General features: G+C 36.5%; 1 protein-coding gene across 16 annotated transcripts in view; it reads left to right on the forward strand.

Annotated features, from left to right (window-relative positions):
• GAB1 (GRB2 associated binding protein 1) overlaps positions 1-23,882 on the forward strand; it is a 137,690-nt gene that overhangs the window by 102,396 nt on the left and 11,412 nt on the right. For 12 of the 16 annotated variants that reach the window (NM_207123.3, XM_047449969.1, XM_017007969.2 and 9 more), the window contains 5 exons: positions 531-616; positions 808-1,111; positions 18,409-18,498; positions 20,114-20,207; positions 21,093-21,216. In NM_207123.3, coding sequence (NP_997006.1) covers positions 531-616; positions 808-1,111; positions 18,409-18,498; positions 20,114-20,207; positions 21,093-21,216 — 698 coding nt within the window. The remainder of the gene's footprint in view (positions 1-530; positions 617-807; positions 1,112-18,408; positions 18,499-20,113; positions 20,208-21,092; positions 21,217-23,882) is intronic. The other 4 variants (NM_002039.4, XM_047449973.1, XM_047449974.1 and 1 more) reach the window with 1 other exon arrangement.

The raw sequence follows: 23,882 nt of genomic DNA on the forward strand, positions 1-23,882 counted from the left end.
AAAGCTAAAGTTTTTAATGCACATATCCTAAACAGTATGTGCTAAAATTTCTGTATTTTGTGGTAGAGTTTTCCTCAGCTATCTCCAAGATTTTAATGTATCTGTGATTATTACTTAAATCAGTACTTATTTCACCATTCAATAACAGTATCTAACTCCTTTCTTGAAGTGACTGTATAACCTGGTTATCAGTTAGTGAGATGTAAGTTATGCCCAAGGTGGTGCAAACGATGAGAAAATAGAGGTGTTTCTCTTCATCTTTAGATAACCTATCTTATCCCAGACTTAGACATTCACTCACACTCAAAATTAGATATTGGTATTGGTTAGCATATGAGTGAGTGTCTGCATTTTCTAGTGGTTTAATATGCCAATTCAAGACACAGTTCTATGAGCATCCTTTTTAAAATTCTGTGTGTGTGCATGTGTGTATGCATATGTATAATGAGAGAAAGATAATAGGTCATCCCAATGACCCTGAGAGCTGGCAAAGATGGGAATAAATGTTGATAGTTTGTTCTTTATTTTAGATGCTAGTTCTCAAGACTGCTATGATATTCCACGAGCATTTCCAAGTGATAGATCTAGTTCACTTGAAGGCTTCCATAACCACTTTGTAAGTATAATTGACCTTGGCATCATCAAGTGTATTTCATTGTCTAAATCTTCATAATTAGTGCCATGAGACTAAGTGATATCATGAAATAAAAGTACGCTGAGATCCATATGAATGAGTGTGACTTACAATTGTGTTTTCATGTGTGACAAGAGTTTTTGTTTATTAAAAGAAATATATATGTGTTTTAGAAAGTCAAAAATGTGTTGACAGTGGGAAGTGTTTCAAGTGAAGAACTGGATGAAAATTACGTCCCAATGAATCCCAATTCACCACCACGACAACATTCCAGCAGTTTTACAGAACCAATTCAGGAAGCAAATTATGTGCCAATGACTCCAGGAACATTTGATTTTTCCTCATTTGGAATGCAAGTTCCTCCTCCTGCTCATATGGGCTTCAGGTCCAGCCCAAAAACCCCTCCCAGAAGGCCAGTTCCTGTTGCAGACTGTGAACCACCCCCCGTGGATAGGAACCTCAAGCCAGACAGAAAAGGTAAGGAGAGCATGGCAAAGTAAAAGGCTTGGGGAGTGCCAAGTTAGATCTATCTTTAACTGCCATTAAATCCAAAATAGAATTTGGACTAGAAATTCTGAAATATTTCATAGTTCCATAGCCATCAAGTTATTTAAGCAAAGCAGTACTGCCATTTATAAATTAACAATTATGATATCACATGTTGATGTGAGGTGATATTTATAAGTCTCCTATCTCTAGAGCAGAGGTTACAAGCTGAAATACTCACGGGGTGAGCGGACAACTGGGGAGAATTAGAAGAAACTGGACTGCCGTAGCCCCATCTAATGGGAGTAACTAACCTACACTGCTACAATCCTTTGTTGACTTGTGAAATGATGCACCCATGCAGGCAAATCTTCTGGTATATCAGGAAAAGCCAGAGATTTCAGATTTTATATGTATTATCTCTCAATTTTTAAAGTTCTATCAACTAATTTAATTATTAAGAAAACATTGCAGGCCAACCCAAACACTTCTGCAAGCTAGATAATGGCCTTCAGCTGCTATTTAGTAACCTCTTCTCCAGAGTATATAATATCAAATCAGACTTAAGATTATTAATGTATTTGACATAATTATTTAAGAACAGTGAGACTGTATAATCTTTCCATTCTGTTCATATAACAACTTCTTAAAAATTACTTTGCCTTTGCTGGGGTAATACATGCTTCTAGTCTGTCATTTTTTTTTCCATGCTGGCCTTCATAAGTAACATTAAGTTCTAAGGTAACATAGTTTGTTAAGAAGTCTGTAAAAGAAACTGTTCAGCCAAATTGGGTAATGCCTACCCAGGTTTTTTAAATTGGGGTTTAAGTTGTTAAAACACAGACAATTTGATTTGTTGCACCATGCTGTTAGTGTGGCTTAATCTTGACAACCAAGTAAATTAGCATAAATGTAAATGTGATGAATGATACAATATCTGGCTTACATTAGGGTGTTTCAGCACATTTGAAAAGTCTCATGTGCTATATGTAGCTTTTTAAGACCACATAATGTTGGCATCAATTTCTCCTTAACCTGGGCTTAGATCATTAATATTAGTTCTAATTAAGTCCTAGTTGTGAGGAAAAGAGACTGAGGCTCAGACTATCTTAAGAAAAAAGATTTGGTTTTGTTTGTAAGTAAGGATAACCTCCTCGTTTCAACAGGAGGTTAACCTCCTTCAACAAGGAGGTTATCAGGAACTGAAGCAATTCTAGGGGACTGTTGCTGTGTCCTGCTCTCTCTGTGCATTTCTGTTTTATGGGAAATCTTTGCATCTGGTTTGTTCTCTTTCACATTCTTCCCTTCTTTTCTGTTTTCTTTTCTGATTCTTTTTTGTTTTCTTACTCTGTATCCTCTACTTAAATGGATTCTGCTTTCCAAGAGCTTTGGCCTCCAATGCTCCCCTTCTATGGCCTCAGTTCTGCCTCCTAGCTGCTTTTTATGTGCCCTTGCAGCTTCTGCATCAGCTTCTCATTGCCTTACTTATTATTTACTCACTTTAGATTGCTTAGAGATGATGTGATTGGTCTATGTGTGTCACACCCACGACGACCCAGTCTGCCCTGGCAGCAGGGCTGTGATTGCGGTGTGGATCTCAGAAAGGATGTGAGCATCAGAGGCTTTCTATCGGATAATGCTTCCTTTTGTTTCCTTTTTCTTTGTCTCTAAATCTATTTTAGACAACTACTAGTCATTTTCTTTGCATATAATATGCAAAAATATGTTTGGACATGTATAGCTTTATAATTGGTTCATACAGATCACTGAAGGATTGAGATATAAGTGTCATGAACTCTTTGAAATATTGAAATATCTTTTTTAATGTTAAACTGGTGCTTTCCTTATTTTCCAGTAACGAGTGCATGTTAGTGGCAGATCTCTACTTTTTAACTCCAAACCTAACAGTTTTATATTTTGAGGTCTCGCATAAATGTGGAGGGAGTAAGATTTGGGTGAGGTTACAAAGCTTTTAAGTCCTACCTCCCTTGCTCCTCTGCTGCTCTTTTCTCCCCTTGAGCTCTGTAGAGCACAGTTTGAAAACTCCAGTATATTTCAACAGTTGTGATTCCATGTGGTAAGCATAATATGAAATCAGGAAACACCACTGTTTATAAGTTAGAAAAGACCTAAGATCAATTAATGATTAGCTTTTAGTATCCTCTAGGTCTGATATCACTCATGTATCCCACATTATTATGATATATATTTTATGTATATATCAGAATATATACTATGTATCATGTATACTACATATTTTATAATTATACATCCCTATGTATTTAGTGAAAGTACTATTATTCTAGTACACTAGAGACTAATCACACTAGTTCTTTAACGTAAAAGAACTTAATAGAACAGAATAAAGTAGGTTCTTATTTCTGGAGATTGTGTTCATTCTTTTAAAATTTAACTGAACTGTTCAGAGACAATTGTGAGTTCGTTGGCCACATTATTTATTTGGCATATTTGCTTAGATACAAAATGAACTTAAAAAGAGCACCCAGATTGAAATACCCATATAGTTTTTGCCAGAATCAAGAATAGACTTAGCAAAACAGTAAAGAGGTTCCTGAAGTCATAGTATTCAAAAAAAATTTACTTTTCTTTAGTACTATTTTACTTTTTTTTTTTTTTTTTTTTGAGACAGAGTCTCGCTCTGTTGCCCAGGCTGGAGTGCAGTGGCGCGATCTCGGCTCACTGCAAGCTCCGCCTCTGGGGTTCACGCCATTCTCCTGCCTCAGCTTCCCGAGTAGCTGGGACTACAGGCACCTGCCACCACGCCCAGCTAATTTTTTGTATTTTTAGTAGAGACGGGGTTTCACCGTGTTAGCCAGGATGGTCTCGACCTCCTGACCTCGGGATCTACCTGCCTCGGCCTTCCAAAGTGCTGGGATTACAGGCGTGAGCCACTGTGCCCGGCCTGTACTATTCTACTTTTTAAATAGTTATGATACAGGAGAGGAGGCTTGAGAATGTATTTAACATTACAAGGCAGACTTTGTAAACTCACTTTACAAAGTTATGACTTCATAAACTCACTTTACAAAGTTATAACTTCAAGAAAAACACATTTTAAAATCCAAATTCAGATCTCAAAGCAAAGTTTATCCACAAACACTTAAACAAAAATAATGTCTCGTTTGGTCCTATAATTTTTCTCAGTATTCATAGCATCAGATGAATCTATTTTAATTTCAAATTTCATGACATCAGATAAATGACTTAATCTATTATTCAGTATCTCTTATATAAAACTCATTATAAGCAAATCTAATTCTATAAAATATGGCTTGATTAGTTTCAGAGCTCCATATAACTAGTTCATTGCCCTATATGTCTGGTTTTTGAGATTGTCTTTGGAAGGATCTATAAGAAACCAGTAACATTCTAGTCTTGTTTATAGCCCCAATTATAGATGTCAGCTGCTGTAGTTTGCATACAGATGAGCTTTTCAAATACTTATGAGTAATTGAAACTGCAGAAATACATAGATGTTCTGAACACTTAAACATAATTATCTTAGACCCTTTGCCTGTCACTCAATTCATGATAGTGATATTTTCATCATACTATTTCTGTCACTGTAGTGTTTGTTTTGAGCCAAGTTTTGTGTGTATTAAGAGAAACGTATTTTAAGCATACTGTATTAAATATTGGGAAAGCAGATGAGTCACTGGAAATACAGGACAAATTATATTTTGACCTCTTCAATTGAAAATTTTATATTTCTGATGGAAAGGGAGTTTTGTAAAGTTTGGGAAATTTATCTGTTATAGCTTCTCTTTATGTCATGACATAAATCTAGTATATTAAATCGCTAAACTTATCTAAGGCCCCCATCTCTGTCTAGTCTCTGTCTAGCATGATGCAGCAGCTGTGTGAGCCCCACATGCTGTCTTTATGTTGTTATGTTTGGCCTTGTCCATTCACGCCTTTCTGCAACAGTCTGAACATTAGTTACTATACTGACTTTTTTTTGTTAAGCCAGTGCAAGGTTTTGTATGGTGTTTTTATACACCACTTTGGTTAAAGTACCTTCAAGCTTAGATCCTTAATATTGTGTGGGGAGCATACAGAAGACTAATCCTGAGAGTTTCCCTGGGTGACTCTTTTGGCACAGTGATGGATTTGCTCTAAACATTTTTTCAAGAGATCTTTTAAAGTTTCTGAATGTGATTAAAAATTAACATGCACTTTTTAAAATTTTTATTCTTTTGTATTTCAATTTTTATTTTAGTTTTAGGGGGGTGCATGTGCAGGTTTGTTACCTGTGTATATTGTGCGATGCTGAGATTTAGGGTATGAATGATCCTGTCACTCAGGAACTGAACATAGCACCCAATCGTTAGTTTTTCAACCCTTTCCACCTGCCTCCTTCCCCTCTCTGGTAGTACCCAGTGTCTGTTGTTGCCATCTTTATGTCCATGTTTAGCTCTCACTTGTAAGTGAGAACATGTGATATTTGGTTTTCTGTTCCTGCGTTTATTTCCTTAGGATAATGGCCTCCACCTGCATCTGTGTTGCTGCAAAGGAAATGATTTCATTCTTTTTATGGCTGTGTAGTATATGTACCACATTTTCTTGATCCAGTCCACTGTTGATGGGCACCTAGGTTGATTCCATGTCTTTGCTATTGTAAACACTGCTGCAGTGAACATGCGAGTTCGTGTGTCTTTTTGGTAGAAAGATTTGTTTTCTTTTGGATATATACCCAGTAATGGAATTGCTAGGTTTAATGGTAGTTCTGTTTTAAGTTCTTTGAGAAGTCTCCAAACTGCTTTCCACAGTGGCTGAACTAATTTTACATTCCCACCAGCAGTATATAAGCATTCCCTTTTCTTCACAGCCTCACCAGCATCTGTTGTTTTTTGACTTTTTAGTAATAGCTGTTTTGACTAGTGTGAGATGATATCTCATTGTAGTTTTGATTTGCATTTCTCTGATGATTAGTGATGGAGTATTTTTTCATACATTTGTTGGCCACTTGTATGTCTCATTTCTAGAAGTATCAGTTCATGTCTTTTACCCATTTTTTAATGGGGTTACTTGTTTTTTGCTTGTTGATTTGAGTTTCTTGTGGATTCTGGATATTACCTCTTTCTCAGATGCATAGTTTGTGCATATTTTCTCCCATTCTGTAGGTTGACTGTTTACTCTGTTGATAGTTTCTTTTGCTGTGCAAAACCTGTTTAGTTTAATTAGGTCCCACTTCTCAATTTCCGGTTTGTTGCAATTGCTTTTGAAGACTTGGTCATAATGCCTAGTTTCTTGAGGGTTATTATCAGGAGGAGACATTGGATTTTATCGAAAGCTTTTTCCAGGTCTATTGAGATGATCATATGTTTTTTGTTTTTAATTGTTTACATGGTGAATCACATTTATTGATTTGTTTTTTTGTTTGTTTGTTTTTAATTATACTTTAAGTTTTAGGGTACATGTGCACAATGTGCAGGTTAGTTACATATGTATACATGTGCCATGCTGGTGTGCTGCACCCATTAACTCGTCATTTAACATTAGGTATATCTCCTAATGCTATCCTTCTACCTTCCCCCCACCCCACAACAGTCCCCAGAGTGTGATGTTCCCCTTCCTGTGTCCATCTGTTCTCATTGTTCAATTCCCATCTATGAGTGAGAACATGCAGTGTTTGGTTTTTTGTCCTTGCGATAGTTTACTGAGAATGATGATTTCCAATTTCATCCATGTCCCTACAAAGGACATGAACTCATCATTTTTTATGGCTGCATAGTATTCCATGGTGTATATGTGCCACATTTTCTTAATCCAGTCTATCATTGTTGGACATTTAGGTTGGTTCCAAGTCTTTGCTATTGTGAATAGTGCTGCAATAAACATACGTGTGCATGTGTCTTTATAGCAGCATGATTTATAGTCCTTTGGGTATATACCCAGTAATGGGATGGCTGGGTCAAATGGTATTGCTAGTTCCAGATCCCTGAGGAATCGCCACACTGATTTCCACAATGGTTGAACTAGTTTACAGTCCCACCAACAGTGTAAAAGTGTTCCTATTTCTCCACATCCTCTCCAGCACCTGTTGTTTCCTGACTTTTTAATGATTGCCATTCTAACTGGTGTGAGATGGTATCTCATTGTGGTTTTGATTTGCATTTCTCTGATGGCCAGTGATGATGAGCATTTTTTCATGTGTCTTCTGGCTGCATAAATGTCTTCTTTTGAGAAGTGTCTGTTCATATCCTTTGCCCACTTTTTGATGGGGTTGTTTGCTTCTTTCTTGTAAATTTGTTTGAGTTCATTGTAGATTCTGGATATTAGCCCTTTGCCAGATGAGTAGGTTGCGAAAATTTTCTCCCATTTTGTAAGTTGCCTGTTCACTCTGATGGTAGTTTCTTTTGCTGTGCAGAAGCTCTTTAGTTTAATTAGATCCCATTTGTCAATTTTGGCTTTTGTTGCCATTGCTTTTGGTGTTTTAGACATGAAGTCCTTGCCCATGCCTATGTCCTGAATGGTAATGCCTAGGTTTTCTTCTAGGGTTTTTATGGTTTTAGGTCTAACGTTTAAGTCTTTAATCCATCTTGAATTAATTTTTGTATAAGGTGTAAGGAAGGGATCCAGTTTCAGCTTTCTACATGTGGCTAGCCAGTTTTCCCAGCACCATTTATTAAATGGGGAATCCTTTCCCCATTTCTTGTTTTTCTCAGGTTTGTCAAAGATCAGATAGTTGTAGATATGCGGCGTTATTTCTGAGGGCTCTGTTCTGTTCCATTGATCTATATCTCTGTTTTGGTACCAGTACCATGCTGTTTTGGTTACTGTAGCCTTGTAGTATAGTTAGAAGTCAGGTAGTGTGATGCCTCCAGCTTTGTTCTTTTGGCTTAGGATTGACTTGGCGATGCGGGCTCTTTTTTGGTTCTATATGAACTTTAAAGTAGTTTTTTCCAATTCTGTGAAGAAAGTCATTGGTAGATTGATGGGGATGGCATTGAATCTATAAATTACCTTGGGCAGTATGGCTGTTTTCACGATATTGATTCTTCCTACCGATGAGCATGGAATGTTCTTCCATTTGTTTGTATCCTCTTTTATTTCTTTGAGCAGTGGTTTGTAGTTCTCCTTGAAGAGGTCCTTCACATCCCTTGTAAGTTGGATTCCTAAGTATTTTATTGTCTTTGAAGCAATTGTGAATGGGAGTTCACTCATGATTTGGCTCTCTGTTATTGGTGTATAAGAATGCTTGTGATTTTTGTAGATTGATTTTGTGTCCTGAGACTTTGCTGAAGTTGCTTATCAGCTTAAGGAGATTTTGAGCTGAGACAATGGGGTTTTCTAGATATACAATCATGTCATCTGCAAACAGGGACAATTTGACTTCCTCTTTTCCTAATTGAATACCCTTTATTTCCTTCTCCTGCCTAATTGCCCTGGCCAGAACTTCCAACACTATGTTGAATAGGAGTGGTGAGAGAGGGCATCCCTGTCTTGTGCCAGTTTTCAAAGGGAATGCTTCCAATTTTTGCCCATTCAGTATGATATTGGCTGTGGGTTTGTCATAGATAGCTGTTACTATTTTGAGATACATCCCATCAATACCTAATTTATTGAGAGTTTTTAGCATGAAGCATTATTGAATTTTGTCAAAGGCCTTTTCTGCATCTATTGAGATAATCATGTAGTTTTTGTCTTTGGTTCTGTCTTTATATGCTGGATTACATTTATTGATTTGCATATATTGAACCAGCCTTGCATCCCAGGGATGAAGCCCACTTGATCATGGTGGATAAGCTTTTTGATGTGCTGCTGAATTCTGTTTGCCAGTATTTTATTGAGGATTTTTGCATCAATGTTCATCAAGGATATTGATCTAAAATTCTCTTTTTTTGGTTGTGTCTCTGCCCGGCTTTGGTATCAGGATGATGCTGGCCTTATAAAATGAGTTAGGGAGGATTCCCTCTTTTTCTATTGATTGGAATAGTTTCAGAAGGAATGGTACCAGTTCTTCCTTGTACCTCTGGTAGAATTCAGCTGTGAATCCATCTGGTCCTGGACTCTTTTTGGTTGGTAAGCTATTGATTATTGCCACAATTTCAGATTCTGTTATTGGTCTATTCAGAGATTCAACTTCTTCCTGGTTTAGTCTTGGGAGAGTGTATGTGTCGAGGAATTTATCCATTTCTTCTAGATTTTCTAGTTTATTTGCGTAGAGGTGTTTGTAGTATTCTCTGATGGTAGTTTGTATTTCTGTGGGATCGGTGGTGATATCCCCTTTATCATTTTTATTGCATCTATTTGATTCTTCTCTCTTTTTTTCTTTATTAGTCTTTCTAGCAGTCTATCAATTTTGTTGATCCTTTCAAAAAACCAGCTCCTGGATTCATTAATTTTTGAAGGGTTTTTTGTGTCTCTATTTCCTTCAGTTCTGCTCTGATTTTAGTTATTTCTTGCCTTCTGCTAGCTTTTGAATGTGTTTGCTCTTGCTTTTCTAGTTCTTTTAATTGTGATGTTAGGGTGTCAATTTTGGATCTTTCCTGCTTTCTCTTGTAGGCATTTAGTGCTATAAATTTCCCTCTACACACTGCTTTGAATGTGTCCCAGAGATTCTGGTATGCTGTGTCTTTGTTCTCATTGGTTTCAAACAACATCTTTATTTCTGCCTTCATTTCGTTATGTACCCAGTAGTCATTCAGGAGCAGGTTGTTCAGTTTCCATGTAGTTGAGCAGTTTTGAGTGAGTTTCTTAATCCTGAGTAGTAGTTTGATTGCACTGTGGTCTGAGAGACAGTTTGTTATAATTTCTGTTCTTTTACATTTGCTGAGGAGAGCTTTACTTCCAACTATGTGGTCAATTTTGGAATAGGTGTGGTGTGGTGCTGAAAAAAAAGTATATTCTGTTGATTTGGGGTGGAGAGTTCTGTAGATGTCTATTAGGTCCGCTTGGTGCAGAGCTGAGTTCAATTCCTGGGTATCCTTGTTAACTTTCTGTCTCGTTGATCTGTCTAATGTTGACAGTGGAGTGTTAAAGTCTCCCATTATTATTGTGTGGGAGTCTAAGTCTCTTTGTAGGTCACTCAGGACTTGCTTTATGAATCTGGGTGCTCCTGTATTGGGTGCATATATATTTAGGATAGTTAGCTCTTCTTGTTGAATTGATCTCTTTACCATTATGTAATGGCCTTCTTTGTCTCTTTTGATCTTTGTTGGTTTAAAGTCTGTTTTATCTGAGACTAGGATTGCAACCCCTGCCTTTTTTTGTTTTCCATTTGCTTGGTAGATCTTCCTCCATCCTTTTATTTTGAGCCTGTGTGTGTCTCTGCATGTGAGATGGGTTTCCTGAATACAGCACACTGATGGGTCTTGACTCTTTATCCAATTTGCCAGTCTGTGTCTTTCAATTGGAGCATTTAGTCCATTTACATTTAAAGTTAATATTGTTATGTGTGAAAATGATCCTGTCATTATGATGTTAGCTGGTTATTTTGCTCATTAGTTGATGCAGTTTCTTCCTAGTCTCGGTGGTGTTTACATTTTGGCATGAACCACTTTGCACCTTAGGAGTAAAGCCTACTTGATCATTAACATGCTTTTTAAAAACTACATGTATACACTAATAAGTGTTTGGAGAATGTATGAGTAATACCAGTACATGAAACTAGATTTTGATAAACAGGTATTAAAGTTTAAATCTTAAGTCAAGCTTTGCGTTAGATTTGTTACCGTTTAAAGGAAATAAGTATGGAGTGCATTTTTACAGCAGAGCCTTAATGTGGGGTTTTTTCCTCTCAATATTCTCTTGACTTCAAAGTATAATTATCATTATTACATTTCTCTTTATACCATGAGACCATTAAAACTTATAAAAATTTTTCAGTTTTCTGCCTTCATTACTTTCTGGAATTAACAAATGATAATGTGAATTACTTTTACTCTTTCTTGATTTTGGGGATGCCTACTGGAAGTAGTAGCATAATCTGCAAAACTTTGGGAAGAGTAAAAAATTTAGGCTTAAAAAAAATTTAGGCTTTGTAAAGCCTGTAATAATACAGAAAATAAAATGTCCACTTTGTGTGGAATTTATGTAAGTAGTTACCTATTAGAATAATGCATTAATAGATCACATCTATTTAATTGAAATGTGACCTCACATGACTGCCTTGACTGTATTTGAGATGACCGACTTGAAATACCCTTAGAATTTAGTTCTTCCCTTTTTCCATTTAAATGACAAGCAAAAATGGCTGGGCACAGTGGCTCAGCCTGTAATCCCAGCATCTGGGGAGACCGAGGTGGGCAGATCACCTGAGGTCAGGAGTTTGAGACCAGCCTGACCAACATGGTGAAACCTGTCTCTAGTAAAAATACAAAAAAATTAGCCAGGCGTGGTGGCGCATGCCTGTAATCCCAGCTACTTGGGAGGCTAAGACAGGAGAATTGCTTGAACCTAGGATTTGGAGGTTGCAGTGAGCTGAGATCATGCTACTGCACTCCAGCCTGGGCAACAGAGCAAGACTGCATCTCAAAAAAAAAAAACAAAAAATGTGTGAGATTGATCAGGTTAAACACCACTAGCTTTAAGAGAAAGGCAGTTCATTAACATTCATACAACACAGATTTAAGCACCTATCAGTTACAGGATATAAATTCTCCAAACAAGGAAAAGGTTGCTCCCCTGAAGAAGCTCACCGTCCAGGACCCCTGAAGAAGCTCACCGTCTAGGAGGGGATGTGGAGAAGTAAACACATTATCATAATTACCGTGGAAGGGGCTGTGGTTGAAGTAAACTCTTGGCACTATTAGGGAAGCTCCCCTGAGGAAAGTCTGAGAGTGTGAGTGGCAATTAAATGATGGTAGGGGAGGGCAGCCTGGCAAAGGATCTTCTCGTTAGAATAAACAACATGCCCAGGTCCTTTAAAAAGAGGGGAGATGAGACAGGCCCAGAGTCGTGGGGAGGTAGGTGGGCGGGCAAAAAGGAGGGAGGAAAGTACCAAAGGAGGGACGAATGCCAGATGCCTTGCAGGTTCCTGGTCCTGAAGGAGTTATAATTTATGATAATGAGTTTGGACTTTATTCTGAGTGTACCATTAAAGAATTTTATGCAGGCACATAAACTTTAAGATTTATATATTTAAATCTTAAGTCAAGCTTTGGGTTAGATTTGTTACCATTTAAAGGAAATAAGTATGGAGTGCATAATCAGAATGGCTCTAGAAAGCTCATTCTGATTTAAGAATACAATAGAGAAAATAATTGTATTCTTTAATGTAAAATGTTATAAAAATCACTTTTCTTTCTCAGAGAGTGCTTTGCCCAGTTTTCCAAATCCAGGGTTCTTGAAGTCTTTGTTGAGACAGGATCAAACAGGGAAGGCATAGCAAAAGTCCCCCTGTCTGGCTCCCTCAACTTGGGGAACTTAACAGTGATTTTTGGAAGTTTTGAGGCACTTGGAGTATAAGCGGAACTCATACAGCCATACAGTGCGAGTTCATCACTTTCAGAGAAACAAAACAGGTAAATGAAGTGCTCATTTAAAAAAAAAAAATCAGACAAACAATTTTTTATTTTCTGGTGTGAATGTCTGAAGCACGTCAGGGCCTTCATTTTAAAAGAGCACCCCGCTCTTTGCTGCTCTGTTTCTTAGGGTTGTGTGAAATCGTGGTGCTACATTAAGACTAGCTTTACGTTTTGCCTTGACATCAGTGTTTGCACAGGAAGTTTTTATGCAGTTTGCAAGGCTATTTTCTTTCTTTTTCTTTTAGAGACGGTTTCTCACTATGTTGCCCAGGATGGTCTCAAACTCCTGGGCTCAAGTGATCCTCCTGCCTCGGCCTCCCACAGTGTTGGGATTACAGGCGTAGCCACTGTGCGTGGCCTGCAATGCTGTTTTGTTTGGCATACTTGGGGACGATTCCTTATAATTAAAATTGTCTCATTTTTTTTGAAGGGCTTTAGCTTTTAAGAGTTTAGAAGTGTCCTCCTCTGTAAGAGAGCAAAGCAAAGGGAGGGTATGAATCATATGCTGCACGCTCTTCTAGATGGCATATATTTTCTAGTTAGCGTGTTTTCATTTTTTTCTTTTAAAAACCATTAAAATAAGTTACAGTGATGAGGTTACAGTATACAGCAGTATATTAGAAAAATATTAGACCAAGAATCCAAAAAGCCAGAATTCATTTCTGGTAATACTATTAACAACCACTCCCTCCCATTAAATGACATTGGGCAAATCCGTTGACTTTTCTTCACATAAATTTTCTTATTTTAAAATGTAAAATTAGATCATCTCTAATCGTACTCCAAATTAGGGAGCAGATCACATGATCAAGAGATTGATATTAACAACCCTCCTAAGGATTAAAGCACAGATAGAAATTTCCCCAGTAGTCAGTGCTCTTCACTAAATTATGCTGCACTCTTTGTTCAAACCAAGTCTAGCAAAAGCCAAGTTGTAACTAACTGCCTTGGACTTAAACATTCAGGCTCACATGAGTTCTCTATTTATTCTCAGAATTTAAGAGTCACCAAAATTGGTTTATTTTTGCCTTTGCTTTAGTATTCTTATGTCTTATTATCTATTTTCACACTTTTCTTCAGCAATCAGTAAAACATTGGCCTATTATATACAGGCAGTAAAGGAGGAGAAAAGGCTAAGACAGGCCTCCTTACACCTTGGACTTTTTTTCTCGTTTCTTTCCGCTTAAGTAATATAGGGCTATTCTTTGGGCATGATTTTCATTTCTGTCTGGAACATTAATGTCAAATTGAGTTTGGAAGCATAGAGAAATCCAGCTAACAAAATGCCTAAGTAACATAGTACAATTTAGTGCAACATTTCCACATTTTAGCTTCTGCCCTAAAATTAACCTTAAGCTTTGCACAGAGTAGAAAATACACGTAAATTTTATAAATGTATTTTTAAAAATTTCAATATGATTATATCATATTTTTCTAATACGAAAACCAAGGAATACCCTAGAAAAGGAGTACCCTTTTAGTACCCACCCCAGAAAAAAAGGTAATGAAGATGAAGAAGAACTCGAGTGAAAGGCTTACTGATTTCATGCATCTGCTTTTGGCTCATACGAGTCTCCTTGGAACATGTGACATCTTTAAAAATTACTTAATCCACATTGTCTTCATCATTACAATCACTTACATTTTATATATGTTTTCACTGTAACCAACAAGAAATTACTGGTCACGAAGGTAAACCCTTCAGAGAAATGTAACGATTTTACATCTCTGATGTTGGAAGCACTTAAAATTTAGTTGAGAGAACTTACTGTATACAAAAGCAACGCAATACAAATACTCTTCTAAGAGTAACTATAGTAAAGATTGTAGGTTTGAAATAAGGATATGGGACTAAGAACATGAACCCTCTCTCTAGATTCACAGAATTTAAATTCTAGCTCTACCAGTCATCATCTGTGTGACTCTGGGCAAGTTACTTAAGTTCTATAAGCCCCCAACCAGCTTGGTAATAAAATTATTAAAATTTCTTTTAAATTGTACCTTCCTTACATGGTTGTTGGGAGGTTTTAGAGTGTCTAGTACCTAAGAACTCCTCAATAAATGTTCATGATTAAGTGTAATGGCATTTCTCTGGGCAGTCTTAGAGAATGTATTCTAACTTGAGCTTTGTGTAGAAATTAAAGTCACTGATTGATAAAGCAGTGATGGATATTGATAGTGAAAGAATGTAGAAAAGGGCTGAAATTTTAAAGATGTACATGAGAAATAGAGAACAGAATGGTCTAGCCAGAGCAGAGCACAATTCAAGAGAAGAATGTGTTGTAAACACATCCGTATTCTTATGGCATTTCCATATTCTCCATGACTTCCCCAAATAAGTCATATGTATTCTGTGTTCTTGTCTGTAAAATCATTGCTATCTTGAAATGTAATTCATTGAATAGAAGTAGCTGGATTGAATTGAAGTAGCTGGATACTATGTTGTACTTGTTGAACTCAGAATAAAAATATACAGATGAATCCTTAGCATTTTATTTGGGAAGCAAGAATTGCAATTTGAGATACACAGACCAAGTGGTCTTTGTTATGTCTGAATAACAAAGAGGAGGTTGGGAGTTTTATTAGAAAGAGAAATCTTAAGTATTGTTTTGAAAGAAAGCTCACTGGCACTAGAGAATTTCTTTGGAGCTGGCAAGATCTGATTGGTGAATGATGGTGGTAGGTAAAACCAGTTTTAGAGTCATGGCAAGTCATTTCAGCAGCTGCTAGGTAAAACCGGTCTTAGGGTTGCAGCAGGTTGTTTCAGCACCAGGGTTTGTGGAAATGTTAATTCTTGGATCAGTTGCTCTGTGCGGTGAGTGCTTTTTCCCCCAGCCCTCAACCCTAATTTAGTTGGCTACAACAAGAATGACCCAATTTGTATAATCAACTTTCACACACCTTTCTCACATAATGGGCCTTTAATGGCTGTTGTCTGTCTTCTGTCCTTTTCAGTTTGAAAATCATTCTCCTAGCTAGAGAAGACTAAAGCAAGATAGGAGCTGAGTTTCTCTCTCTTTTTTTTTTAATCTATTATGATTAGTTTTTCTTCCCAAACAGGTTTGTTCTTGCCTTGTTTCTTTTCCTCTAGGAATAGGTTTTAAAAGACCCTCCATGTAATTTTTCATAGGCCGTGATCATTCTGGATTATAGTCATCACACCAGCATTCACACAGGCTCGGGTAACTTTCTCATTGACCTTGACTCCCTGCTCCTTCCGTTTCAGTCCTTCCCATTTTAAAAGCTCTTTTTGTTGTCATATAGGGAAATCATTAGCATTTTGAGACCAAATGCAGATGCTTAAAGGGGATGGACTACATAACTCTGAAAATTTGTACCTAAAGATCCAGGATACGGTGTCATTACTAAGGGCTTTGGAGGTGGAAAATGGCATTGGTTTAGAGGAGAAACAATCAGTTTCAGCTTCAGAAGGATAATTGGAGATAACCTGTCAGGCAGTTGGAAGGTGGAACTAGAGAAAAAGTGAGAAACCATAACTCGGTAAGATTTAGCAGTCATGTGACCTTGATTATTTAACCACAAACTTAGATAAGATACTGGGGTAGCAAAGCTGAGAAATGCAAAGAGTGACCACTGGGAGATAACTATGGTGAAAAAAATCAGGAGGGAGCTGGAGAGCTAATGAAAACGGATCTTTCAGACAAGGAGGAGTGCATCTCACATACTAGGTCAAGAGCAGCAAACCAAAAGAAGTTCTAAGAGCATTTTGTAATTAAACCTGGTATCACTGGTGTGTCAGCTCTCTGTGGCATTCACGTAGATGTCCCCCCAAGCCACATCTGTAAATTCAGAGTAGTATCAACTATAGACATAAGTGTAGGAATGAGCACATTTCTTCCTTTCTCTACTTGGTTTCCTTAGTTTGTGACTGTGTGGCACAGAGTGCTGCAAGATCTCCAGCCGCAATGGAGAGTTCAAAACTGAACTCCAAGCAGCTCCAACATAGTATCCAGCTAAATTTCCTAAGATTCTCTATATCCCTAAAGGTCTGGAAAGGTAAGACAGTGTGGTATAGAACAGGAGTGCCACACCAGCAAGTGGCAGGCTAGAGGAAGTCTCAACTCTGCCTCCGGTTAAAGTGTAACCTGAACAAATCACTTAACCCCTTCTTTCTTTGGATGAATCTCATTCATAAAATGAAGAAACTAGATTTGTAAGGGCCTTTCACTCCAAAATAATCATATTATTTTAATACTAAGACTTACCTTCTGCCTCTTATTTTTTTTGAAGGGTAGCACACTATTTGGGGGAGTTTAAAAAGTTGTCATCGTAGCCGGGCGCGGTGGCTTACGCCTGTAATCCCAGCACTTTGGGAGGCCAAGGCGGGTGGATCACAAGGTCAGGAGATCGAGACCATCCTGGCTAACACGGTGAAACCCCACCTCTACTAAAAATACAAAAAATTAGCCAGGCGTGGTGGCGGGCACCTGTAGTCCCAGCTACTTGGGAGGCTGAGGCAGGAGAATGGCATGAGCCTGGGAGGCAGAGCTTGCGGTGAGCCAAGATTGTGCCATTGCACTCTAGCCTGGGCGACTGAGAGAGACTCCGTCTCAAAAAAAAAAAAAAAGTTGTCATCTTCCTTTGCTTTAGAAAAGGGTCCTGCGGGTATGGGCCCTGGATTAGGGAATTTTAGGGGTAGGGAGTGGATCTTGCCCAAAATTTTAGTATTTACCTTTTAAACTCAGGCTGCCTCATTTCTGAATAAACTCAATGTATTGTGTAACTTAGAAAATTGGTTAGGAAATTTTATTTTTTATAACTTCTACAGAATTATATTTTAAGAAACTTAGATTTCGATAGGTAAGGTGCTAGATATCAGCACTTAACCAGCAAATTCTGATTCTGCCACCTAATAGATGTAAACTCAACTTTGTAAATTCCAAGAAAAAAGAAAATTTAGTGCCACTAATAATGGAGTAGCTTAAATCACTGGTTCAAATGATATTGCAGCTCTGGCATCCAGGCTTCTAATGGGAAGGATGCCCTTTCATAGGCTTTTCAGCAGTGCTTTTATGTGGCAGACATTAAGTGAAAGGAAGATGATGGTAACTGAATTTATGCTTTCAGAAATATACTTAATTAAACTGAAGCTAGGCAATCAGTAGAACCAGAATCTAAACATGTAATTCTTGCAAGATGAAGCCATTGGGCAACCAGTGAGTATCCAGAGGAAAGAAATGCTGGTCTTGTTTTGGTTTTAGATTAGTAAATATAGTAGTGGCAACTTGCTTCTCTAGAAGAGTCTTGTTCAGGAGGTGCAGGAATAGATTAAGGTTTTAAAAACATCTCTACCAAATTAGAAAAGTAATATTACAAGGACGTAGGCCTTCGGGCTTTCATATGAGACACCAGATTTCAAAGAAAAGAAAGATGTAATTGAGATCTGACTAGGGTATTCTACAAATTTTTTATTTGATCCAGTTTTCTAAGACATGTTAGAAGAAAAACTAACATGGCACATATTTTCCCTCTGTTCCCCCAAATGAAGATAACAACTAACCAGGCTGGTTATCGCACTAAAATCCTGCCATCTTTTATACCTCCTTGCTGCTTACATTGTTGCATGTAAATTCCTCTTTTCCATTGTGCTGAGCATGAGCATGAATTTTATGTAACAAGACTGAAATATTCTCCACAACAAACTTTTGTTCATGCTTTTAGATGTAACATTTTTGCACAGGGCTCTGTTGCTTTTTTTTTTTTTTTTTTTTACAGAATCCATTTTCCAATTAATAAATAACATTATATTAAGAGAGTCTTCTTTTTACCAATTAGGTCAAAGTCCTAAAATTTTAAGACTCAAACCCCATGGTTTAGAGCGAACTGATTCACAAACCATAGGTGACTTTGCTACAAGAAGAAAGGGTATGTACTTTAGCACCGCATGCTGTATGGGGCATTGGGAATTTATTTTGTAATGTTTTTTGTTTTTTTTCTAAAAATAAAGAAGAACCTTAAATACTACTGCTGTTGTAAATAAAACTTTCCTGCACATTATTTCTAAAGTGAATGCTTCCCATAATACACAATGAGTCTACTTACTCTGCCATTAACAACAGCATGTTAAATATTTGATAATATGTGATATTCAGACTTGTCCTTTTGCATTATTCTTTTAACTTTGTAGACAACATTTTATCCTTTCAGTTTGTGAACTGTTTGTGATTTTCTGTTGTCTTCTGTCTTTATGTATATGTGTTCTGTTCTGAGACAGAATAAAGAATCATTTCCATGGATTAATTGTGCCATTATTTAAAAACTGACAGCTAAACTGCTATTAGCCTTTGGGTGTCAAAAAGTAAAACATTAACAGTTAAAGAAATACTTTCACTCAGCGGAATATTCTGTATGTTTCTATTTTAAGAATATAGACAAGCAAAATGGTTTCAGCTCAAATTAGTAAGTTAATTTGGTCTTCATTATATGTGAGTTGACAAAATACTTATGAGCCTCAATGCGTATGGTCCTTTAAAATGACCATTCATTTTATAGTGTAATGGTAACTATGCCATAACATACATGGACAAAGACTATAAATAAATCTCAAAGATGAAATTTTTTGTTAAGAGTGGCAGAATGAAACATAACTGAAATATTTACCTAACATGTTTAGGTAGTCTCCTAAAATATCTAGTATTAAATAGTATTGTTTCAGTTCTTTTGCTCACTCTGTAAATTTCTGAAAAAATCTCAGTCTTGACTTTAAGAAAATGGCTAAGAACTCTGTGGTATATATTGGTTTAATTGTCTACTGCAATATGAGGTAAATAAAGATCACTTATAAATGAAAATTATTATTAGCATTTACTTAATTGTATATAATTTAGCAAGAGATTTGTTGCTTAAATTACACTAACAATTTGAAGTAAAATAATTATGGCCTTTTTTCAGAGCGGAGTTTGGATCTAAAGATACAAATATTGTTTCGTTTTGTTTGTTTCCAGACTGTGCATGAATTATTTTAAAAGATTCGAACATTTTTTCAGTTTGGGGTTTTAACAAAGTTGTGTTTTTAATAGTTTCTATGCATCATTTTATATATATAGTTATATACTCCAATATTGAAGAAAAGGAATGATTTTACATAGATGATTAAATTTTCTTATTGAGTATGAAATTGGTGAAATAATTTATGAAATAATGAAACATATAAAGCAACCATAGAGGAACTGGGTCACATTACTCTTTATCTCATTTAGTTTATATTCATAAAATATGCACTTAGGCAACATGTTGTAATAGAGGTTTAGGCTTTGAGGTAACAATCATGAAACATCTGATTTAGCTTTTACCACTAATTACTTAGCTATGTAACCTTGGGCAAATCATGTAACATTCATGGACCTCATTTCACATGTGAAACTAGGTGGTCTTAGGTTTACTCTGGCTATCAAATATAAATAGAGTTACAGAGAGAGAATCTTGTTTGTTTTCCAAAGTTCTGTATACTAAAAATCTCTTTTTCTCTTTTTCTTTTCAGTCAAGCCAGCGCCTTTAGAAATAAAACCTTTGCCAGAATGGGAAGAATTACAAGCCCCAGTTAGATCTCCCATCACTAGGAGTTTTGCTCGAGAGTAAGTCCTTTGTCTAAAATATGTAGTTTGTATGAATAATGTGACTATCTAGAATTGTTCATTATCATGGAAAATATCTGGAATAGTGGTTCTCAATGGATGATCTGAAGAGCCCCCTTTTTGGGGGTTCTGTGAAGTCAAAACCATTTTCATTAATATATTAAGATGTTATTTTCTGTATTTTTTCTCCTTCTGAGTGTACAGTGGAGTTTTCCAGAGGCTACATGATAAGTGATGAGATCATTGTGACACCCAATAGAAATGTGTATTTGTGTATTACTTACGTTTTAAAAATATGTCTATTTTCATCTCTAATATGGCAAAATTAATAGATACAACTCATGTAAACAAAAATTTCTTGGGATTCTCAATAATTTTTAAGAGTGTAAAAGGTTTATGAAACCAAAAAGTACTGAGGACTACTAATCTTGAAAATATGGTAGTCTCTTGTGGAGATTATTTAACCGAGACTTATTTAAATGTATATAGGGAATTGAGAGGAATTTATGAAGTTACAAACCTATGTTGAACATATGTTCATGTTTCGTGTGTGTGTGTGTGTATATAGTTTTTAAAAAAATAGAAATTCTTAAGTCTTCCATTTTATATCTGTAACTTTCTACTTATCACCAAGTCACTGGCAGTGGTTTTTTTGTTTTACACAAAATATTTTGCTGTCCAAAATACACTTTTATAATACAATTATAAATATTAGTTATGTGTTTGTACACAAAAATTACATCATTATAAATGTGTACAATGAATGATTATAAACATAAGGGAATATTTCTGAAAGAATGCAGACTGTCTCTCATTTTTATTTGGGGAATAATTTTAGATATTTTTGTCAAGGCTTATGTTTGTGATGATAATTTCTGTAATTAGCTCTTCCAGGTTTCCCATGTCCCCCCGACCAGATTCAGTGCATAGCACAACTTCAAGCAGTGACTCACACGACAGTGAAGAGAATTATGTTCCCATGAACCCAAACCTGTCCAGTGAAGACCCAGTATGTAAAGTTTTAACTTTTCCCTTTCTGAGCAGCCCTTTTCAGTCATTCAAGCTAGAACTGTTCTGTCTATAAATTTTATCCTCGTATCTTTATATACTTAAGAAAAAGCAGTAAAAGACAACTTTTAAAAAGCTTATTAAAAATAATGTCATAAACTCTAAAACCAATAAAAGGTGAAAGTAAACTGTAAATGAGTTAAAAAAAAAAAGTTGCCTGGCACAGCAGCACAACCCTGTAGTTTCAGCTATTTGGGAGGCTGAGGTGGGAGGATCACTTGAGTCCTTGAGTCCAGCAGTTTGAGGCTAGCCTGCACAACATGTCACCCTGTCTCTAATTAGAAAAAAATTAAGTTTTCAGTTATATGTCATTTAAGAGATACTTGATTTTTTATACTCTTCAAGAAAATATACGGGCAGCATTTTATGATGCAATTCTCTAAGGCCATGTCACAGCACTCTAATGGTGAAATGGTCTTATAAGTAAGTAATATACCTTTAGATAGGTGTAAAGATTAAAGAAGACCTCTTATAAACATAACATGTTTGAGGTTGGCTATACTACCATAAAGCATGAGAATTTTCTAATGGTAGTGAGCATTTTGTTCCTCATAAATCAGGTAGTTGCCAGAAAATACTTCAAATGTTTAAGAATACAAACCAATTTTAATTTTTAAAAATATTTTGCTTTAGCTTTTCCTTAAGTCAGATTTAATGTTTGCTTTGTTATTTGTATTTTAGTTGATAAGTATATCCATTAGGATTAAGTTCCCCTCTGAGTAAAAGAAAATAAATATTTGTGACTCAAGAGAGAAGTTTCTTTCTTTCTCATGGAAAAGTCTAGAGAGAGTCAATCCAAGGCTGTTGTGGCAGCTCTGTTCCATAGAGTCTTCAGGGATTCAGACCTTTTCCAGCTCTCCAGTCTGCTTTCCTTGGGTGTGGCACATATGCTCATTGGACAAGATGATGCTCCAGCCAGCAGAGTGACATTCCAACTCCAGGTGGAGGAAAGAGAGAAAAAGAAGGGTACAGCCCAACTGCCTCATAAGGACAGTACCTCGAAACTGCTTTATAGAAACCATTAACCAGAACTTAGCCTGTGTGGCCACACTTAGACACAAAGGAGCTAGAAAACATAGACTTAGATCCGAGGAACAGTGGGCCCACCTAAAAATCCCATGCATATGGGAGAGGGGAGAGCAGGTATTGAGGGACAATCAGACCATATCTTCCAGGATAAGCAAATACCTGATGTCAAAATTTAGAATGAGTAACACTTTAGTGGCCCTATATTATTTAAAACAGCCCTATTTAGAGGTATAAAATATAAAGCCCAATTCTGTCAATGAATTGGTTTTTCATCCTTAATAGACTTTAGGCAGAACCAGCTTTCTTAAAACTATATATTGTCAGGAAACATAATTCAGTGATATGAAAAACTTGATTTTGTGCTTAAATTAATTAACTTTAAAATATTACCAAATTTAGCCAGGCACAGTGGCATGTGCCTGTAGTCCCAGCTACTCAGGAGGCTGAAGCAGGAGGATCTCTTGAGCCTAGTTCACACCTAGCCTGGGCAACATAGCGAGACCTCATCTATAAAAATTTTTAAATATCAAATTTATAAAGTATTCAAAAATAATATAATCAATATATCAATAATGTTTTCACTGATTTTTCAAGGCAGGGCAATTTTTAGACACTTTTGCTTTTGTATTCACTATTTTTCAATTTGAGTGGAGTTCTATTATTATTATTTAAGTTAATTAGTTTTCCTCAGTATAGTAAGTTGACTCTAGTAAAACTCTAAATCCTAAATTCTCGGTCAGAGTAGATATTGTCACCTATTTTCAACTTTGGGTAGTTGAGTGAACTGTTTTCTTATCGTAAAGTAATTAGAGTATTTTCTGAGGTACTAAAGAGTGTGTCTTTTTGCCCAAAATAGTAAATAGCCATAAAAATTTTGGAAAGTCCCATATAATAGGAAAGTTTAAAAATGTGATTTGTCATGGGTGTTAGATGAAGGGAAAAGATGAAAAAGAAGAGCATTACAATCAGAAATCAAAGGAAATCAAAATACAATTTTTTTTTTTTACACCTAATGACAGTAAGCCAGAAAGGTGCTTTTACTTGCCACCAATAGAGGTGTCTAAATAAACACAATGTGGTGAATTTCTTTTTTTTTTTATTTGGAGACAGATTCTCTTTCTGTCACCTAGGCTGGAATGCAGTAGCGCGATCTCAACTCACTGCAGCCTCCACCTCCTGGGTTTCAAATGATTCTCCTGACTCAGCCTCTCGAGTAGCTGGGATTACAGGTTTGCGCCACCACACACGACTAATTTTTGTGTTTTTGGTAGAGACAGGGTTTCATCATGTTGCGCAGGATGGTCTCAAACTCCCGACCTCAAATGATCTGCCTGCCTTGGCTTCCCAGAGTGCTGGGATTACAGGCGTGAGCCACTGCACCTGGCCTGTGATGAATTTATGAAGTACTTAGGTCCTATGTATTAGAAAAAAGCAAAAATGACCCAGGAGGACATACCTATCTACCAAGTACAATAGAAAAGTCAACAATGCCAATTCCATATCCTCATGCTGCCAAATACAAGGACTCATCATAGTCCATTCAACTCTCCCTTAGAAAAGAATATGAGAATTATAGCA

Source organism: Homo sapiens, chromosome 4 (genome assembly GCF_000001405.40).
Source record: "Homo sapiens chromosome 4, GRCh38.p14 Primary Assembly".
NCBI lineage: Eukaryota > Metazoa > Chordata > Mammalia > Primates > Hominidae > Homo > Homo sapiens.